At 53.7% G+C, this 16,467-nt stretch overlaps 11 annotated features.

Annotated features, from left to right (window-relative positions):
- Window positions 255-1,212: an enhancer, noted in NCBI's record as "H3K27ac hESC enhancer chr2:43410493-43411450 (GRCh37/hg19 assembly coordinates)". NCBI's record gives its function as "activates a minimal SCP1, AML or CMV promoter by ChIP-STARR-seq in naive H9 embryonic stem cells {active_cell/tissue: H9 hESC(naive)}" and the evidence as "EXISTENCE:reporter gene assay evidence [ECO:0000049][PMID:30033119]".
- Window positions 255-2,170: a biological region, named in NCBI's record as "P300/CBP strongly-dependent group 1 enhancer GRCh37_chr2:43411165-43412364".
- Window positions 927-2,126: an enhancer, noted in NCBI's record as "P300/CBP strongly-dependent group 1 enhancer chr2:43411165-43412364 (GRCh37/hg19 assembly coordinates)". NCBI's record gives its function as "activates an origin of replication core promoter dependent on BRD2, BRD4, P300/CBP, MED14 and CDK7 cofactors, with strong dependence on P300/CBP, by STARR-seq in HCT116 cells {active_cell/tissue: HCT116}" and the evidence as "EXISTENCE:reporter gene assay evidence [ECO:0000049][PMID:35650434]".
- Window positions 1,213-2,170: an enhancer, noted in NCBI's record as "H3K27ac hESC enhancer chr2:43411451-43412408 (GRCh37/hg19 assembly coordinates)". NCBI's record gives its function as "activates a minimal SCP1, AML or CMV promoter by ChIP-STARR-seq in primed H9 embryonic stem cells {active_cell/tissue: H9 hESC(primed)}" and the evidence as "EXISTENCE:reporter gene assay evidence [ECO:0000049][PMID:30033119]".
- Window positions 1,231-1,525: an enhancer, noted in NCBI's record as "tiled region #12188; K562 Activating DNase matched - State 5:Enh". NCBI's record gives its function as "activates a minimal TATA promoter and a strong SV40 promoter by Sharpr-MPRA in K562 cells {active_cell/tissue: K562}" and the evidence as "EXISTENCE:reporter gene assay evidence [ECO:0000049][PMID:27701403]".
- Window positions 2,243-2,976: an enhancer, noted in NCBI's record as "H3K27ac-H3K4me1 hESC enhancer chr2:43412481-43413214 (GRCh37/hg19 assembly coordinates)". NCBI's record gives its function as "activates a minimal SCP1, AML or CMV promoter by ChIP-STARR-seq in naive and primed H9 embryonic stem cells {active_cell/tissue: H9 hESC(naive and primed)}" and the evidence as "EXISTENCE:reporter gene assay evidence [ECO:0000049][PMID:30033119]".
- Window positions 3,711-4,444: an enhancer, noted in NCBI's record as "NANOG-H3K27ac-H3K4me1 hESC enhancer chr2:43413949-43414682 (GRCh37/hg19 assembly coordinates)". NCBI's record gives its function as "activates a minimal SCP1, AML or CMV promoter by ChIP-STARR-seq in naive H9 embryonic stem cells {active_cell/tissue: H9 hESC(naive)}" and the evidence as "EXISTENCE:reporter gene assay evidence [ECO:0000049][PMID:30033119]".
- Window positions 4,194-4,364: a silencer, noted in NCBI's record as "fragment chr2:43414432-43414602 (GRCh37/hg19 assembly coordinates)". NCBI's record gives its function as "represses an EF-1alpha promoter that drives an FKBP-Casp9 reporter gene in an ReSE screen in K562 erythroleukemia cells {active_cell/tissue: K562}" and the evidence as "EXISTENCE:reporter gene assay evidence [ECO:0000049][PMID:32094911]".
- Window positions 4,445-5,178: an enhancer, noted in NCBI's record as "H3K27ac-H3K4me1 hESC enhancer chr2:43414683-43415416 (GRCh37/hg19 assembly coordinates)". NCBI's record gives its function as "activates a minimal SCP1, AML or CMV promoter by ChIP-STARR-seq in primed H9 embryonic stem cells {active_cell/tissue: H9 hESC(primed)}" and the evidence as "EXISTENCE:reporter gene assay evidence [ECO:0000049][PMID:30033119]".
- Window positions 7,356-7,954: a transcriptional cis regulatory region, noted in NCBI's record as "candidate enhancer chr2.1723 targeted for multiplex CRISPR interference". NCBI's record gives its function as "positively regulates ZFP36L2 gene expression in K562 cells {active_cell/tissue: K562}" and the evidence as "EXISTENCE:mutant phenotype evidence [ECO:0000015][PMID:30612741]".
- Window positions 10,911-11,830: an enhancer, noted in NCBI's record as "H3K4me1 hESC enhancer chr2:43421149-43422068 (GRCh37/hg19 assembly coordinates)". NCBI's record gives its function as "activates a minimal SCP1, AML or CMV promoter by ChIP-STARR-seq in naive H9 embryonic stem cells {active_cell/tissue: H9 hESC(naive)}" and the evidence as "EXISTENCE:reporter gene assay evidence [ECO:0000049][PMID:30033119]".

Here is a 16,467-nt window from a genome sequence, read left to right on the forward strand (position 1 = left end):
AACGTCCGGTGAAGTCGGAGCCTCAGTTTAATCAAATGTAAAATGTTGGTAGGCGCACCCGCAGCTCACAGCATAACTGAGAAGTCTATTAAGTAATGGATGTAAGGCACTTATCCGGTGCCTGGCACACAGCAAATGAGCAATAAATGCTGGGGAGGAATGCTGTGATGATGCATGTGGTCAATGACTTTCTTTAATTGCAAGTAATAGAAACTCAGACTTGCTTTAGAAAAAGAAGCGTTTGCCGGATGTGGTGGCTCACAACTGTAATCCCAGCACTTTGGGAGGCTGAGGCAGGCGGATCATCTGAGGTCAGGAGTTCAAGACTAGCCTGACCAACATAGTGAAACCCCATCTCTACTAAAAATACAAAATTAGCCAGGCGTGGTGGCACACGCCTGTAATCCTAGCTACTAGGGAAGCTGAGGCAGGAGAATTGCTTGAACCTGGGAGGCGGAGGTTGCAGTGAGCCAAGATCACATGAGGCGTTTATTCAAAGAATTTGGGTAGCTCCTACATCAGAGGAAGAACTGTCGCCAAGCCACACACAGTGGAAGGGCAGGAACGCAGGCCTCTCCCGACTCTCACTGAATCCCTTCCTGGTGGGATCAACTTCCTTCTCTCCTGAATTTTTTGACTTCCCTGTGGTAGGCAACACAGCTGCTGGCCAGGCCTGAGGTTCACATCTTGATGTTCCTGCTCACACAGAGGGACTTATACTCTCTCTGATCCCACGTGAACAAGACTCTTAGGGAAGGACCCCGATTGGCTGGGCTTTGCTCAGATGCTACCCCTGCACCAGTCAGTATGGAGGAGCAAAGGGACTGGCGTGTACCATGACATGATGGTGCCATGGAGGGCAGGAGGAGGGAAAGGACAGATACTTCATCAGCAAAACAATAGGCAGCCCCTTCACATTACTGCGGAAATGTGCTTGCAGTCAAAACTGCATTTAGTGCCTGTAGGCACGTTCCCTGGGGCTGTTTCCATCTATAGATCCTGGCACTCAGGGGAACCCCCACCCCACCACTCCCACTCCCAATCACATGGATTCACCAGCAACCTCCTCACATATCTCTAGTCCATGGTGTCTTCCCCCACCGTCCCCCCACCCCAGTTCCCCGGCGCCCAGGCAGCACCTGTAGATGAACCTCCCCTTGGCCCTACTTTGAAGGGGGCCCCTTCTCAGAGCCTTTAATGGCCAGACCCCAGGATTGAGTTTTCTTGACCTGACCTCTCCAAAGTTTCTCTCTCCTTCCATCACTGCTGGTCTCATATCAGTCCAGCTCACCCCCGCCTTCCTCCAGGAAAGGACTCCTGACCTCATTAGGCTCGCGCCCCCTCCCGCTGACCTCCGAATGGGCTGCTACAAGTTCATGGTTCACCTACAGGGAGTGGCTGCGCACACCAGTCACTGAGGTGAGTAAGTGCTTCATCTCTCTCAATCCCGGAACAGCAGACACCACCGTCCCTAGGTGACAGAGAAGAAACAGAGGTTCAGAGAGGCTTAGTAACATGCCATGACTCACACCAGTGGTTAGTTAAAAAACCAGGACTTGAATCCAAGGCTGACTTGATGACCGATCTGAAAAACTTCGCTTTGTTTCATGGGTCAGCAAACTATGGTTTGAGCTCCCAAGTAGCTGAGGCTACAGTTGACCTGTGGGCCCGGTTTTACCCACTGTCTGCTTTTGTGCAGCCTGAGAGCTAGAATGATTTTTTACGTGGTTGCAGGGAGAAAATCAAAAGCAGCATAACACTCTGGCACATGTGAAAATCATATGAAATTAAAATGTCAGTGCCCGTTAAAAAATGTTATTGAAGCACAGTTGTGCCCAGTCAGGTATGGCCAAGTTGGGTAGTTGTGACAGAGACAAAAGACTCCAAAGCCTTATTCTTTTTACATCTGGCCCTTTACAGAAAGCATTTGCTGGGCCCTGCGCTAAAGGGTTCTCCCACAGCCCCAGGGGCCCTAAACACACTGCCTGAATCTAGGGGTTGCTGGAAGACCCTGGAGGAAAAGTAAGGTGGATTTCAGCCCTTTGTACACCCAGGTACTCAAGATTTGCTAAAGGCTCAAGACCTGAAAACATCCAGAAAATGCCTCTAAACCAACCCCTACTGGTGTTCCCCGCTGAGCCAGACTATCTGTCCGAGGGTCTGCGGTGGGACACCTTGGTCCCTACAGGATCTGACTCATCTGGTGGAGTGCTCTTCCGGTCTTGTTTAGTTTTCAAAGAAACAACTTCCAGGAAAACAGCAGAAGGAAGAAGGCTTCATGGGAAGAATGAGTCAGAGAGTTGTTATGGGGACTGCATGGGACCCAGAAAGAAAATACTAAGCCTGAAAGGATAGCAAGTGACAGGTGCTGATGACCTGCAACTCTTAGGGGGAGGAGGAGGGAAATAGGGAATTCTGGAAACCTGTGTGGGACTTTTGCATAAATTAGAAAAAGGTGGCCGGGCGTGGTGACTCACGCCTATAATTCCAGCACTTTGGGAGGCTGAGGCAGGTGGATCACCTGAGGTCAGGAGTTCAAGACCAGCCTGACCAACATGGTGAAACTCCGTCTCTACTAAAAATATAAAAAATTAGCCGGGCGTGGGGGCGGGTGCCTGTAATTCCAGTTACTCGGGAGGCTGAGGCAGGGGAATCGCTTGAACACAGGAGGCAGAGGTTGCAATGAGCCAAGATTGCGCCATTGCACTCCAGCCTGGGCGACAGAGCAAGACTACATCTCGAAAAAAAAAAAAGAAGGAAAGAAAAAGGCTCCCCTTCCTCCTGCCCAACAAGGACGCCCTTGGTGAGTGGGGAGGGAGCTGTAGTTCAGCCCCGCCTTGCGCCCACCCCCAGGCCAGACACGCTTATGTAGTGCTCCCATTTCACAGCTGTCTGTGGCAGCCTGACTTGACCTGACAGTAGGCAGGTCCTGAACCAGCTTGGGTTTCCTGAGTTTCCCTCTAACTCTGCTCCTCACTCAAGCCAGTCCACCAGCCTTCCTGGGTTTGTTTCTTCTTCTGTATAATGGGAATGTCTGTCCTGTCTCCCTCCGGCAGTTCTGGGTATGCAATGATGAAGCAGATGTGGACACCAGGGTGGAGGGTTTTGATGTCAACCAAAGGACCAAATGGAAGCCTTCCATTTGGGGTCCTCCAGAAGCTGCTATTTACAGAAAAGGCTTTGTTGTCATTTTTAAAAACAGATATGGTGAAGAAAATTTGGAAAACAGAGGGGTGTAGTGCCCACAGTCTACCATGGCTAACATCATTCCTACACTCTATCTTGCTTTGGGGGCCAGGGAGGGAAGACACTTGAGCATTACTTCTCAAATGTCTCAACTTTCCCGGAGGAAATTGTTAAAAAGCAGGTTCTGGTTCAGAAGGCCTGGAGTGGGGCCCAAGAGTCCTCGCTTCTAACAGAGTCCCAGGTGACGCCCATCTGACACTCGGAGTCTCATGGGACCGAGAAGACCTTAGCGCAGGTTGAAGAGGTGAGGCCAAGGTGTCCTTGCCCTGAGGGGTAGTGGGAGCCCTGGAAGCTCCTAGCCTGTGGCAGGCCTGCCTCTTGAAGTAAGGCACAGGGGCAGCCTCCCAGGACCCCGGGGATCAGCCAACAGGCTCCACACTGGAAACTGTGGGAGTGAAGACCTCAAGGGCTCAAGCCCTTGGGCGGGGGTGGGAGGAGGTCTCGAGCTGGGGAGGCTGGGAAGGGCTGGGTTTCCCCAGATCAAAGCAGCTTCCCCAGCCTTTGATTCCCCAACAAGCAGCCTCTTTGGACTCGGACTGGAGTTTGGGGCCCGCTGGTCTTAGGGCCTGGGGAAAGTGGTAAGAGGCTCTGGCCTGCTCTCTTTTTGCATAACAGCTTGGCTGCCTAACAAAAGGGCGGTCCTTAAAAGGCCTTATGGGGCTGTTAAAAGCTTCCGGCGATGGTTTAATTGGGGGCGATTAAAGTGTCCTCCCCAGGAAGGCCTGCCCTTCAAAGGCCAGCCAGGCCTGGCTCCCCTGCCCTCAGCACCTCTCCCCGCAGCCTCTCCCAGACTGGTGGCCCGGCCCTCAGCCTCTCCCCTCCCCAGCCTCAGCCACACCTAGGAGGTCCAGGGCCGGACCCTTTGGCCAGCCTGTCTGTAGGGATTCTGTCTCAGCCTGGACAGCAGCACCATCTGCTCACACAGTTTGTTCTCTTGGCTGAGTCTGGCACAAGAGGGAGGGAAGGCTGGGTTAGAGACACAAACAGCCTCAGAAATTGGGGACCCCTTGCAGCACTCTCTCCCCTCAGAACACCTCGACTGGCCTTTGGGCCCCTCCTTGAGCTCCAGGTTACCAGCCCTTCCCCAGGACCCCCACCTGTCTGGAACTTCGTGGTCACTGCTGGGCACCCCATCTCCCACCACACATGAATCTTCAGGCATGTGTGGTGGGAGATGCCTGGAAGTGTGCAATCTTCTGAGCACACTACCTGGAAGGTGTTGGAGATTCAGAGGTGACCAGACAGGGACACCTCCAGGGAGGAGGGGATAGTGGAGGTGTAAGTAGGTGAAAGTGACGGGGCGTGATGTGAGGTGGAAGGAGCCGTGGTGGGGGTGGGCCACAGAGGGCCAGGAAGGACTTTCTGGAAGCAACAGCGCCTACAGTTAGAATGTGACCAGCTTAACTGGGCCCATTTGCCAACCCTGATGTTAACAACAGGACCACATCCAGCTTTACTAACAGACTTTGTCCACACCACCAACTCTGGGCTCCTGGGAGGGAGGTGGGGTAGACGGCCCATCCAGTCTAGAATAGCCACTCTGGGGGCATCTAATTCTTTTTTTCCTTGAGACAGGGTCTCGCTCTGTCACCCACGCTGAAGCGCAGTGCTGCAAACACGGCTCATTGCAGCCTCCACTTCCTGGGCTCAAGCCATTCTTCTTCCTCAGCCTCCTGAGTAGCTAGGACTACAGGCACGCACCACACCTGGCTAATTTTTGTTTTTTTGTGTGTAGTGACAGGGTTTCACCATGTTGCCCAGGCTGGTCTCCAACTCCCGGGCTCAAGTGATCCACCCAAAGTATCGGGATTGCAGGTGTTAGCCACTGCGCCCAGCTGGCATCTGATTCATACATTTCCCCAGAGCCCACCTTCCCTCTCAGATATTATACATTCTTTTGTCTGAACCTTAGGAGCTGCTTTGGATGCAACTTGCCTGTCTCATCCCCTCAGGCCCATCACCCAAACAAAACTCAGAGCCTTCTCCCCTGGGGTGCTCTGTTTCCTGCATGAATCTTGCTCTCATCTCCCCGTCCGTGCCCATCCTAGATGGGGTGCCAGGGCCAAGGGTCTTTAGGATTTTCACCTCCTGTGTCAGCATCAAGGTAAGGAAAGCCCCCCCACCTTTTTTTTTTTTTTTTTGAGATGGAGTCTTGCTCTCGTTGCCCAGGCTGGAGTGCAATGGCATGATCTTGGCTCACTGTAACCTCCCGCCTCCCAGGTTCAAGCAATTCTCCGGCCTCAGCCTCCCGAGTAGCTGGGATTGCAGGCAGGCACCACCACACCTGGACAATTTTTGTATTTTTAGTAGAGACAGGGTTTCGCCATGTTGACCAGGTTGGTTGACCTTGAGCTCCTGACCTTGTGATCCGCCCACCTTGGCCTCCCAAAGTGCTGGGATTACAGGCCTGAGCCACTGCGCCGATCCAAGGCCATGATTTTTTACAGTGTAAGTGCTGGAGGAAAGCAAGCCCAAGGCAGGGGGCAAGGGGGCGTAGGCTGGAAGAACAGGCTGCAGAGGGACTCCCTTCTGAATGCCCTGGGGCGAGGTGTCCCCAGGTATCCCTCTGCCCTCCTGACAGCTTTCCTGTCCAGTCCCAGCAGCCTATTCTGAACCTGTCATCAAGCACTGAGCCCCCAGCCGCGGTGCCTCCCTCACGTGAGGCTCCTGTCTCCTGACGGCCTTCTGCCTGGGTTTCTCCCTCCAACAGGGCCTGCTCTTTGCTGCCAAGCTCAGCCTGAGCGATGCTGGGGCTCCCCTCACAAGCCTCCAAGCGTTCCCCCCTCCATGGCAGCTGGACATTGCAAACCCTCCCTGACCACTCCCCACCCCAATCATCACCCTCACTTCCATCCTCCAGGAAGGGCTGTGGCCTCACAAGCTCCTGGTGACCCCAGCCATGCTGTGTTCCTTCCTGCCCACACTCGCCCTGGCCCCTCTTCAGGGAAGTGGTACCTTCCCTTCCTCTGGATCTCTGTGGACTCTGCTGGTCCTTCAAGGGCCTGCTTATACGTCTCCTCCTCCAGGAAGCTTCCCTGAACATGCCAGTCAAGAACACATTCTCGGCCGTGCGGTGGTTCACACCTATAATCACAACGCTTTGGGAGGCTGAGGTGGGTGGATCACCTGAGGTCAGGAGTTCGAGACCAGCCTGGCCAACATGGTGAAACCCTGCCTCTACTAAAAATACAAAAATTAGCTGGACGTGGTGGTGGGCGCCTGTAATCCCAGCTACTCAGGAGGCTGGGGCAGGAGAATCACTTGAACCTGGGAGGTGGAGGTTGCAGTGAGCCGATACCTTGCCATTGCACTCCAGCCTGGTCAACAGAGAGAGACTCTGTCTCAAAAAAAAAAAAAAAAGTAGGCAGGTGTGGTGGCATGCACCTGTAGTCCCAGCTACTTGGGAGGCTGAGGCAAGAGAATCGCTGGAACCCAGGAGGTGGAGGTTGCAGTGAACCGAGATCGAGCCGCTGCACTCCACCCTGGGCGACAGGGCAAGACTCTATCTCAAAAAAAAAAAAAAAAAAAATTAAAAAACAAACAAAAAACCACATTATCTTTCAAATGGCTGTAGAACTTACTATGTGCTAGGCACCGCACTGAGCCCTGGGTCTCATCTAACCCCCACAGCAACCAGAAGCAGCAAATGTACTCTACTATCACCTCTTTGTTGTAGATAAGAAACAAAGGCAGCCAGGCGTGGTGGCTCACGCCTGTGGGAGCACTTTGGGAGGCCGAGGCGGGTGCATCACTTGAGGTCAGGAGTTCGAGACCAGCCTGGTCAACATAGTGAAACCCTGTCTGTACTAAAAATACAAAAATTAGCCAGGCTTGGAGGCATGTGCCTGTAATACCAGCTACTGGGGAGGCTGAGGCAGGAGAATCGTTTGAACCTGGGAGGTGGAGGTTGCAGTGAGCTGAGATCACGCCACTGCACTCCAGCCTGGGTGCAAGACTCTGTCTCAAGAAAAAAACAAAAAACAAACAAACAAACAAACAAAAAACCAAAAACTGAATGGCTGGCCTCAGCAAACCATTCTGAATTGCTCAGGACTGAAGGGTTTCCCAGGACAGGCTTTCCACTCTGAAACTGGGAAAGCCCCAGGCAACCCAGGGCAAGTCGGTCACCCTTCTGTTACCCGAGAGGCTGGCCTCTGCCTCCATCAGTTCCCTGAAACAGTGTCCAAAGGCCACCATCAACCTTCAGAGGCCTCTCCCTTCTCCTGCCCATGGGGTGGTGTAAGGCTGGGCAGTACCCAACTGCCCTTCAGGGATGCAGTGGGGCTGGATGAGGGGCAGGGCAGTGCCAGCCTGGAGCAATGCCACCCTCCAGCCCAGCCTCACTGGTCGCACCACCTCTCCCTAAGCTGGCTGCTGGGCTTGGGCCCTTTATCATCCCCTCACACTATCAGGCCGCTGAAGGAGTATCTCCTCCGCGCCCACCCCAGCTTCTGCCCTGACCCAGATAAGCTGAGGGGCCAGCCCAGGAGGAGAGAGGCAAAGCTGTAGCCTGGCTCTTCCCCAGCCCTGAACCTCCCTGCCTGGCCCTTGGGTGGAAAGCAGCAGAGACTCCTCTTGGGACTTCTACATCCCAAGATCAGACCGCCTCTCCAACCCCATGGGCAAGGACAGTGGGCAGGAATTCCTGTGCCCACTTGGCAGATGAAAAAATGGAGGCTGGGGGCCGGGCACCGTGGCTCACGCCTGTAATCCCAGCAGGTTGGGAGGCTGAGACGGGCAGATCATGAGGTCAGGAGATCGAGACCATCCTGGCTAACACGGTGAAACCCCATTTCTACTAAAAATACAAAAAAAAAAAAAAAAAATTAGCTGGGCGTGGTGGTGGGCGCCTGTAGTCCCAGCTACTCAGGAGGCTGAGGCAGGAGAATGCTGTGAACCTGGGAGGCAGAGCTTGCGGTGAGCGGAGATCGCGCCACTGCACTCCAGCCTGGGCGACAAAGCAAGACTGTCTCAAAAAAAAAAAAAAAAAAAGAAAAGAAAAAAAAGAAAAAATGGAGGCTGGGTAAGTGACCTGCCCAAGGTCACTGGGCCAGACCCATAGGAAGTCGGGGCTGGACGGGGCCTCAGCATGTCCCAGGGCTCTCTGATGGGGCTTTGTGGAGGATGTTTTCTGAATGAGTCCAGCTGGAGAGGCCAGCCTGCAGATGAGGCCTGTGCACTGCCCCTTCCACAGTCTCCGGCCAGCCTCCCAGCACCGCCTGAGCCCAGAGCCCTCGTGCCTCCTTCCTGCAGGGCTCTTGTCTCCCGACAGCCTTCTGCCTGGGTTTCTTCCTCCAACAGGGCCTGCTCTTTGCTGCCAAGCTCAGCCTGAGCAATCCTGGGGCTCCCCTCACAAGCCTCCAAGCGTTCCCCTCTCCAGGACAGCTGGACATTGCAAACCCTCCCTGACCACTCCCCACCCTGATCATCACCCTCACTTCCGTCCTCCAAGCAGGGGCTGTGGCCTCACAGGCTCCTGGTGACCCCAACTATGCCACGTTCTTTCCTGCCCACACTCGCCCTGGCCCCTCCGCAGGGAAGTGGTACCTTCCCTCCCTCTGGATCTCTGGGGATCCTGCTGGTCCTTCAGGGGCCTGCTTATATGTCTCCTCCTCCAGGAAGCTTCCCTAAAGATGGCAGTCAAAAACACATTCTCCTTCAAATGGCTGTAGCACTTACTATATGCCAGGCACTGTGCTGAGCCCTGGGTCTCATCTAACCCTCACAGCAACCACAAGCAGCAAATTCACTCCACTATTATCACCTCCAGGTTCTAGATTAAAAAACAGAGGCACAGAGAGGTCGGGTAACAGACCCAAGGTCACACAGCCAGAAACAGATCAAGGCAGGATTCAGGCTCTGGCAGTTTGGATCCATGGCATCCACTGGATTAGCAACTCCTTGGGGCAGGGACCATGGGTCAGGACTGGCTTCCTGTAGGAGAAGTCTTAGTATTTGCTTAGAAAGCTCAGAGCTGGACCCCTCCCCCAGACCTCCAGTCCTCAGAGTCCCCTGTAGGAGGCAGCACGGGGAAGGACAGAATTTTGTTTTTATTACCACTCAGCCCAGTTTCTCAAAAGTCACTGCCTGGGCTGAGCAAGGTGGCTCACCCCTGTAATCCCAGCACTTTTGGAGGCCAAGGCAGGCGGCTCACAAGGTCAGGAGTTCAAGACCAGCCTGGCCAATATGGTGAAACCCCATCTCTACTGAAAATACAAAAATTAGCTGGACATGGTGGCATGCATCTGTAGTCTCAGCTACTCCTACTTGGGAGTCTAAGGCAGGAGAATCGCTTGAACCTGAGAGGCAGAGGTTGCAGTAAGCTGAGATTGAGCCACTGCACTCCAGCCTGGGCAACAGAGTGAGACTCTGTCTCACAAAAAAAAAAGAAAAGAAAAAAAAAGTCACTGCTTGGCTTCTTTTTGGTTCTGGCAGGCTGGGCCCAGCCCAAGTGTGGCATGTGAGTGAACCACCCAGAGGAGGGCTGGGGGCTTGGCTCCTGGGGGCTCCAGTAGCTCCCTGCGACCTATCTCTGCCCCTCAAATCCTTCCATTCTAAAGGCCAGCTCCATGCCCACCTCCTCCAAGAAGCGCCAGCTGCTGCCCCCAGGCCAGCCTCCACCTGCTCCCACAGGCTGGGGAGTGGTCAGGGAGGGTTTGCAATGTCCAGCTGCCCTGTCTCCTGTCCCAGGCAGCGATGTGTCCAGGGCTCCATACCAGCTCCAAGCTCTCTGCCTACAGCTCCCTCACATCCACACTCACTGGGTCCCAGCTGGAGACCTGGTGGCTTTGAGAGGATACCGTGGCTTCTTGATGTACCTGAAGACTTTGGAACGCCAGAAGTGTTCAGTCCTGTGATGGGTGTCAGCCAGGCCCAGAAAGCACACAAACTGGGGGACACATATGCTAAGTTATCCAGAAAGCCTCAGGGCTGGGGCTGGAAGAGGAGGGCCTTGCCATCCCAAGGTGCTGGTGTGTCCACACGCCCCTGGGGTGACCGTGTGCATCTGTGTGTGTGTGTTTGTGGGTGGGTGGCTGACTACTCTGAGTTTGTGGGTGATTCATGTGTACCCTCGCGACAGGCTGTGTTCAGATAGTCTGCTTATGTGCTTGAATTCAAGGACACAAACATCCCTAGGTGCAAGCTTGCACGCACAGTCCTCCCTACACCTCCACACGCAACTCCTAATCATCCCTCAGGATCCTCTCCCCGCCCTGCTTCAGCCTTAAGGCCTGCTCTGACCCTCCAGCCCATCCCACTGACCTGCTGACCTTCATCCCAGACACTGCTGGGTTCAGCCCTGGAGCCTGGTCACTCTTGCTCCCTGAGGGTGAGGTTGACTCCTTTTTAAATTACCCCTAAAGCCCCACTTAGGGAGACACAGCCTTATCAATCAACACTCCTTGAATGAATTAAAACAAACTCCAAGGAAAGGAACTGCATTTGGGTGGATGGAAACAAGAGCTCTCAAGCTGTTTTCTTTCCTCTTTACCCTTTGCTCTCTGTCTCTTCCCATCTGTACTTTCTCTAACTTGTTTGCTAACTCAATCGTCAGCTTAGAAAGTACTTCCTTGTATACCCTCCTCTCATTCAAATCTCATGACAATCCTCCAAGACACGAATAATTATCCTCATTGCACAGATGAGGAAACTGAGGTTCAGGGAGGCTACGTGAGTTGCCCAAGGTCACACAGCCTGGAAGGAGTGGGTAGGGACTAGAACCCTCATGCGTGAATGGACACCACCTCCCACCACTCCCCACCAGTAAGTAGAGGGTGGAGGGTAAAGGGCGATCCAGGGGCTCGGAGAGGATTGGCCTCTTCAAGCCCTCTCCATGGCCCAAGGTCACCGTGGGAGGGAGATGCACCTGGCCCCCAGGGCCAGGGGTTACCCCACTCGGCCAGCAATGGGAGAGGCCATGAGATCTGTGGACATTGTTCCTGGGCCTGTGGTTACTGATTTGACAACAGCCCTGTTCCTCCCCAGCCAGCCAGGGAGTTAATGATTAAGGAGGAGATTAAATATTAACCACCTGTGGGGCCACGGCGTAATGTCTCCATCTGCACCTGAGCCTACCTAAAAATCCCTCCCACCTGCCGTGGGCCAGCCCCACACAGGGCCTCTAAGCCCCTTGCTTAGGGATACCACTTCCCCATGCCCCCATCCTGCCCTGGCCCTGGCCCTGGCCCGTGTCCACCCCATCTCACTCTCTCATACCCACAGCACAGACCCAAGGACTCTTCCTGTAGCTTGGAAGCTGCAAGCTACACCACTGTAGGCACTCCTGGTGGGCCTTCTGGAGGAGAGGACCTGCCTGAACCCAGCTACTCCTGGGGCTTGGAGAGTCCGCAGGTTACATTCCTACCTGTGACCTCGTTTATCAGTGCTCTTATCGCTCTTATCTCCCAAGTCGTTCCTCCTAAAGACCCCTCTGAATCTACACATCCCAGGCCCCAACACCCTGGGCTACAGCAACTCCCCAACACGCCATTCTCTTCTTTCTTCTAGCAGTTAGAATCTGGGTGTGTTCTGCCTCCAGGAAGCCTCTCATATTAACCTGGGCTAAGGTCTCTGCGGGCCTCTGCTCCCCAGCTTCCCTTAGGCCGGGGTGATTCAGGCTGGCATTGGCTGCTGCACGGCTGCAGGAAACCAGCTGCATCTGTTGGAAGGTCCTTTGAAGTTTAAGTGCACAGCCTCCGAGCGCTGGGGGCGGGGACTGCTCTATCTCACCTAAGCCTAGGGCCTGCCCCTGGGTGAAGCCATGGTCACCCTCCCCACAGCAGGAACCACAGGCAGTATGACACAGGGTTCACCTGCGTCTTTTTCTATAAATATAGAAAAATGGAATTATTTATTCAAATAATAACTCTATTGATATGCTCTCATTCCTGTTTGTGGGGAAGCCCCAGATGACTGTGTGGGTAAGTTACTATGGTACGTAAGCCCCACCGTAGCCTGGGCCTGCACTGCTCTCTCTGCATGTCAGTGAACTGCATTGACACTGCAGGCCTAGTGACAGGCAATGTCATCCCCATTTTACAGATGGCGAAACTGAGGCTGGGTGAAATTAAAGGACTTGGCCACGCTCAAACAGACAGGAAATGGCAGAAGCTGGCCTGCCTGGTGCAAAAGCCATACAAAACTGAAAAGGACCTAACACCGTTCTTGCCACAGCTGTCTAGGCCCCAAGCTCAGCTTCTTTTCAGCCACAGTTCCCAACCATGTGTGGCTTGCTTGCTTTTCTTTCTTTCTTTCTTTCTTTCTTTCTTTCTTTCTTTCTTTCTTTCTTTCTTTCTTTCTTTCTTTCTTTCTTTCCTTCCTTCCTTCCTTCCTTCCTTCCTTCCTTCCTTCCTTCCTTCCTTCCTTCCTTCTTTCTTTCTTTCTTTCTTTCTTTCTCTCTTTCGAGATGGAGTCTCACTCTGTCACCCTCTGCCTCTCGGGTTCAAGCCATTCTCCTCCTGGGTTCAAGCCGTTCTCCTGCCTCAGCCTCCCGTGTAGCTGGGATTACAGGCACACACCACCACTCCTGGCTAATTTTTGTATTTTTAGTAGAGACGGGGTTTCACCATGTTGGCCAGACTGGTCTCAAACTCCTGACTTCACTCAAGTGATCCACCCTCCTCAGGCTTCCAAAGTGCTGGGATTACCGGTGTGAGGCACCGCGCCCGGCCTTTTTGTTTGTTTTTTTAAGACATGGTTTTGCTTTGTCACCCAGGCTGGAGTGCAGTGGTGCGATCATAACTCACTGCAGCCTTGACCTCCTGGGCTCAAGTGGTCTTCCTGCCTCAGCCTCCGAAATAGCTGGGACCACAGGTGTGCACCACCATGCCTGACTAATTTAAAAAAATTTTTTTAAATCTCAGCACTTTGGGAGGCCGAGGTGGGTGGATCACGAGGTCAGGAGATCGAGACCATCCTGGCTAATGTGGTGAAACCCTGTCTCTACTAAAAATACAAAAAATTAGCGGGGCGTGGTGGCGGGCGCCTGTAGTCCCAGCTACTCTGGAGGCTGAGGCAGGAGAATGGCGTGAACCCAGGAGGCGGTGCTTGCAGTGAGCCGAGATCACACCACTGCACTCCAGCCTGGGCAATAGAGCCAGACTCCATCTCAAAAAAAAAAAAAAAAATTATTTTTGTAGACTTGGGGATCTCATTATATTGCCCAGGCTGGTCTCAAACTCTTGGGTTCAAGCGATCCTCCCTCCTCAGCCTCCCAAAGTGCTGGGATTACAGGCGTGTGCCACTGCGCCTGGCCCCTTTCTCCTTTCAACTTTCTCTCACCTGTATTGATACCTGAACACTTAACAACCGCTTATGGCCTCCATTATGTGGGAGAGATGACTTTAGCTCTTCCAAGTAAGGGTGCCCCTGATCTCCTCAGAACCGAGGATATGACCCAAGGAGACTCCACGTGGAGACCCACTGGCTCTAGATGGGGATTTCTCTCTCCCTCCTAAAATGGGGCTCATTCCTTTAAGATGTTTTACTAAGTTTTTTGCAGAGACGTCTAGAAGGACCTGCCATTTTCCTTCTTCCTGCATGTTACAAATCATCTTACCAGTGCAGGATGGTGTAGAATCAGCATTGCACTGCGGTTTCCTCACACCAGCGCTTGTGTCTACAGATGAGGAAAGAAAGGCCCCCGAAGGTCAAGAGCCTCGCTGGCCCAGTGGCTCCCACACGAGTTCCTCAGGGCAGCAGCAACACTAAGGAAGGGGATGGCCTCTGACTGGCACTGATGGGGCTTCCAGACCCATACCTCAGGGGCTCAGAGGTTTCCTCTGGGGCCCCAGCCCCTTGTCTTAGACTCAGAGCTGAACCCCCAGTACATCCTTGAGAACCTCAACCTGCTCCCCTTTGCCCCTCACCTCCTCCCTGGACCACTGCTCCCCACAGTCCAGCTCCCCCATCCTTGACAGTGAGCCCAGGGTTTGTCAGGGGATAGTGGGGAGTCCGGGAAACATATAATACGAGCTTCTCAGCCATAAGCAGTGTTCCCATATCCCAGCACAGCACACACACTTTGAGCCAGGTTTCCCGCCCAGCCTGCCACGCTGTCTTTTGCCCTGTGTTTCTGTCTGTCTCTCTTTCTCTCCCACACGCACTCTCACTCATTCACACAAACTCACAAATTTTGATGACTCAGGCAAAGCAGAGAGGAGGGAAGCAACACTTAAAGCCGAAATTGGCTTTAACTGGGGATGCTCACATTTCTATTTACATCTCTTTTGCATGTATTTGCATAGACTGTTTTTGGACCATTCTCCATGTCCCTAAGGGCACTGAGAAGTAACGGATTTGTGGTCCTCAGGGGGCCCCAAGGCCTCCGTGAGGCCTCCAGATGCGTTAGGTGGGCCCTGGAATGCAGGGAGAATAGGGAGGCGACAGGTCATCTGGTTACATTACAGGGGCAGGCTAGAGGAAATAGGGTAGCTGGGGCCTGGAGGAACCTTGTGGGCCTTGGCTGCCTTCTTTTTTTTTTTTTTTGAGATGAACTTTCACCGTTGTTGCCCAGGCTGGAGTGGAATGGCACCATCTCAGCTCACTGCAACCTCCGCCTCCTGGGTTCAAGTGATTATCCTGCTTCAGCCTCCCAAGTAGCTGGGATTACAGGCGCCCGCCATCATGCCCAGCTAATTTTTTGTATTTTTAGTAGAGATGGGGTTTCATTATGTTGGTCAGGCTGGTCTCGAACTCCTGACCTCAGGTGATCCACCCGCCTCAGCCTCCCAAAGTGCTGGGATTACAGGCGGGAGTCACCGCGTCCGGCCTTTGGCTATCTTCTTGTCACAGGGTCCCCCACTCAGTGCCCCTGAAGGCCAGGCTGGCAGTGGGGTAGGGGGTGGGGCAGGAATTTTCCAAAAGTCCAGATGCCTAGTGAGGCTCCGCTCCTGGGCCAAGTATGGAAGGCAGCAGAGAAGCAAGAGGATGGACCCCAAGTGAGAGGGACACAGGAAACCCTGAGGCAGGGCCAGAGGAGAAGAGCACCCAGGAAAGGAAAGTGCCGGCTCAGAGGTGCTGGGAGGGTGGGTCCTACTCCTTAGGTGAACACAGACACCAGAGGCCCAGCACCAGCTGCCCTCCTACCCTGCACATCAGCTCTCAACTTAATTCGCCGCACAACCTGAGACAAGATTCTAGGCAGCCAGGGCTCTGGCCCAGCTCTGCACCCTTTGCCGGGTGACCTTGGGCGGGTCTTGGTCCCTCTCTGGGCCTCAGTCTCCTCTTCAGGAAAGGGCAAGCAGATGAGTTTCGAAGGCCCTCCCAGGTCTAATGTCTCTGCTGCCCTGACCCAGCCTCCCTGGCCCACTTCCCTGTGGCTCAGGAATCTTCAGTGTCTACCTCTAGGATCAGGGTCAAGTTTGAGTGTTCAGGACCCTCTGCATCTGGTGCCATCCAGCCTCATCAGCCTCACTTCCCTTGTTTTCTGGGGGTCCAGCAGGGACCTTGGGTCCTTGCTCCAACCTCCTTTCCTTTCCCCACCAAGGGCCCTGATTCTGGAACACCTGCCCTCTCCTGCAGGGCTGGCTTCATGAACAGTGACCTATGCAGCCCCATGGTTGGTTTAATGCTCTGTTAATGTCATCCTGGAATTTAAAAATTTTGAGCAAGGGCAAGGGGCCCTGACTTTCTTTTTTTCTTTTCTTTTCCTTTTTTTTTTTTTTTTTTTTTGAGACAGAGTCTCGATCCCTTGCCCAGGCTGGAGTGCAGTGGCGCGGTATTGGCTCACTGCAACCTCAGCCTCCCGGGTTCAAGCAATTCTCGTGCCTCAGTCTCCCAAGTAGCTGGGACTATAGGTGTATGCCACCATGCCTGGCTAATTTTTGTATTTTTGGTAGAGATGGGTTTTCACCATGTTGGCCAAGCTGGTCTTGAACTCCTGACCTCAAGCGATCCGCCTGCCTTGGCCTCCCAAAGTGCTGGGATTACAGGTGTGAGCCACCACGGGGCCCTGACTTTCCATTTTAGACTGGACTCCACAAATTATGTATCAGCCCTGCCTTCTTCTCCTCCCATCAACCGTTCCTCAGCCCTACCTCCCCTCCAAACCCTCATGGACCAGGGAGAAGGTCTGGCGTGGGATGGCCAGCCCTACAGTCCAAGGAAAAGAAGCAGAGACCCTTTGACATCACGGGCCCAGGCCATATGTCACCAGAGAAAATGGGCACAGAACTGCCAGGGGACATGGAGAACGGAAAGAAGGAGAGCCCCTGGTTCTGT

Source organism: Homo sapiens, chromosome 2 (genome assembly GCF_000001405.40).
Source record: "Homo sapiens chromosome 2, GRCh38.p14 Primary Assembly".
Lineage (NCBI taxonomy): Eukaryota > Metazoa > Chordata > Mammalia > Primates > Hominidae > Homo > Homo sapiens.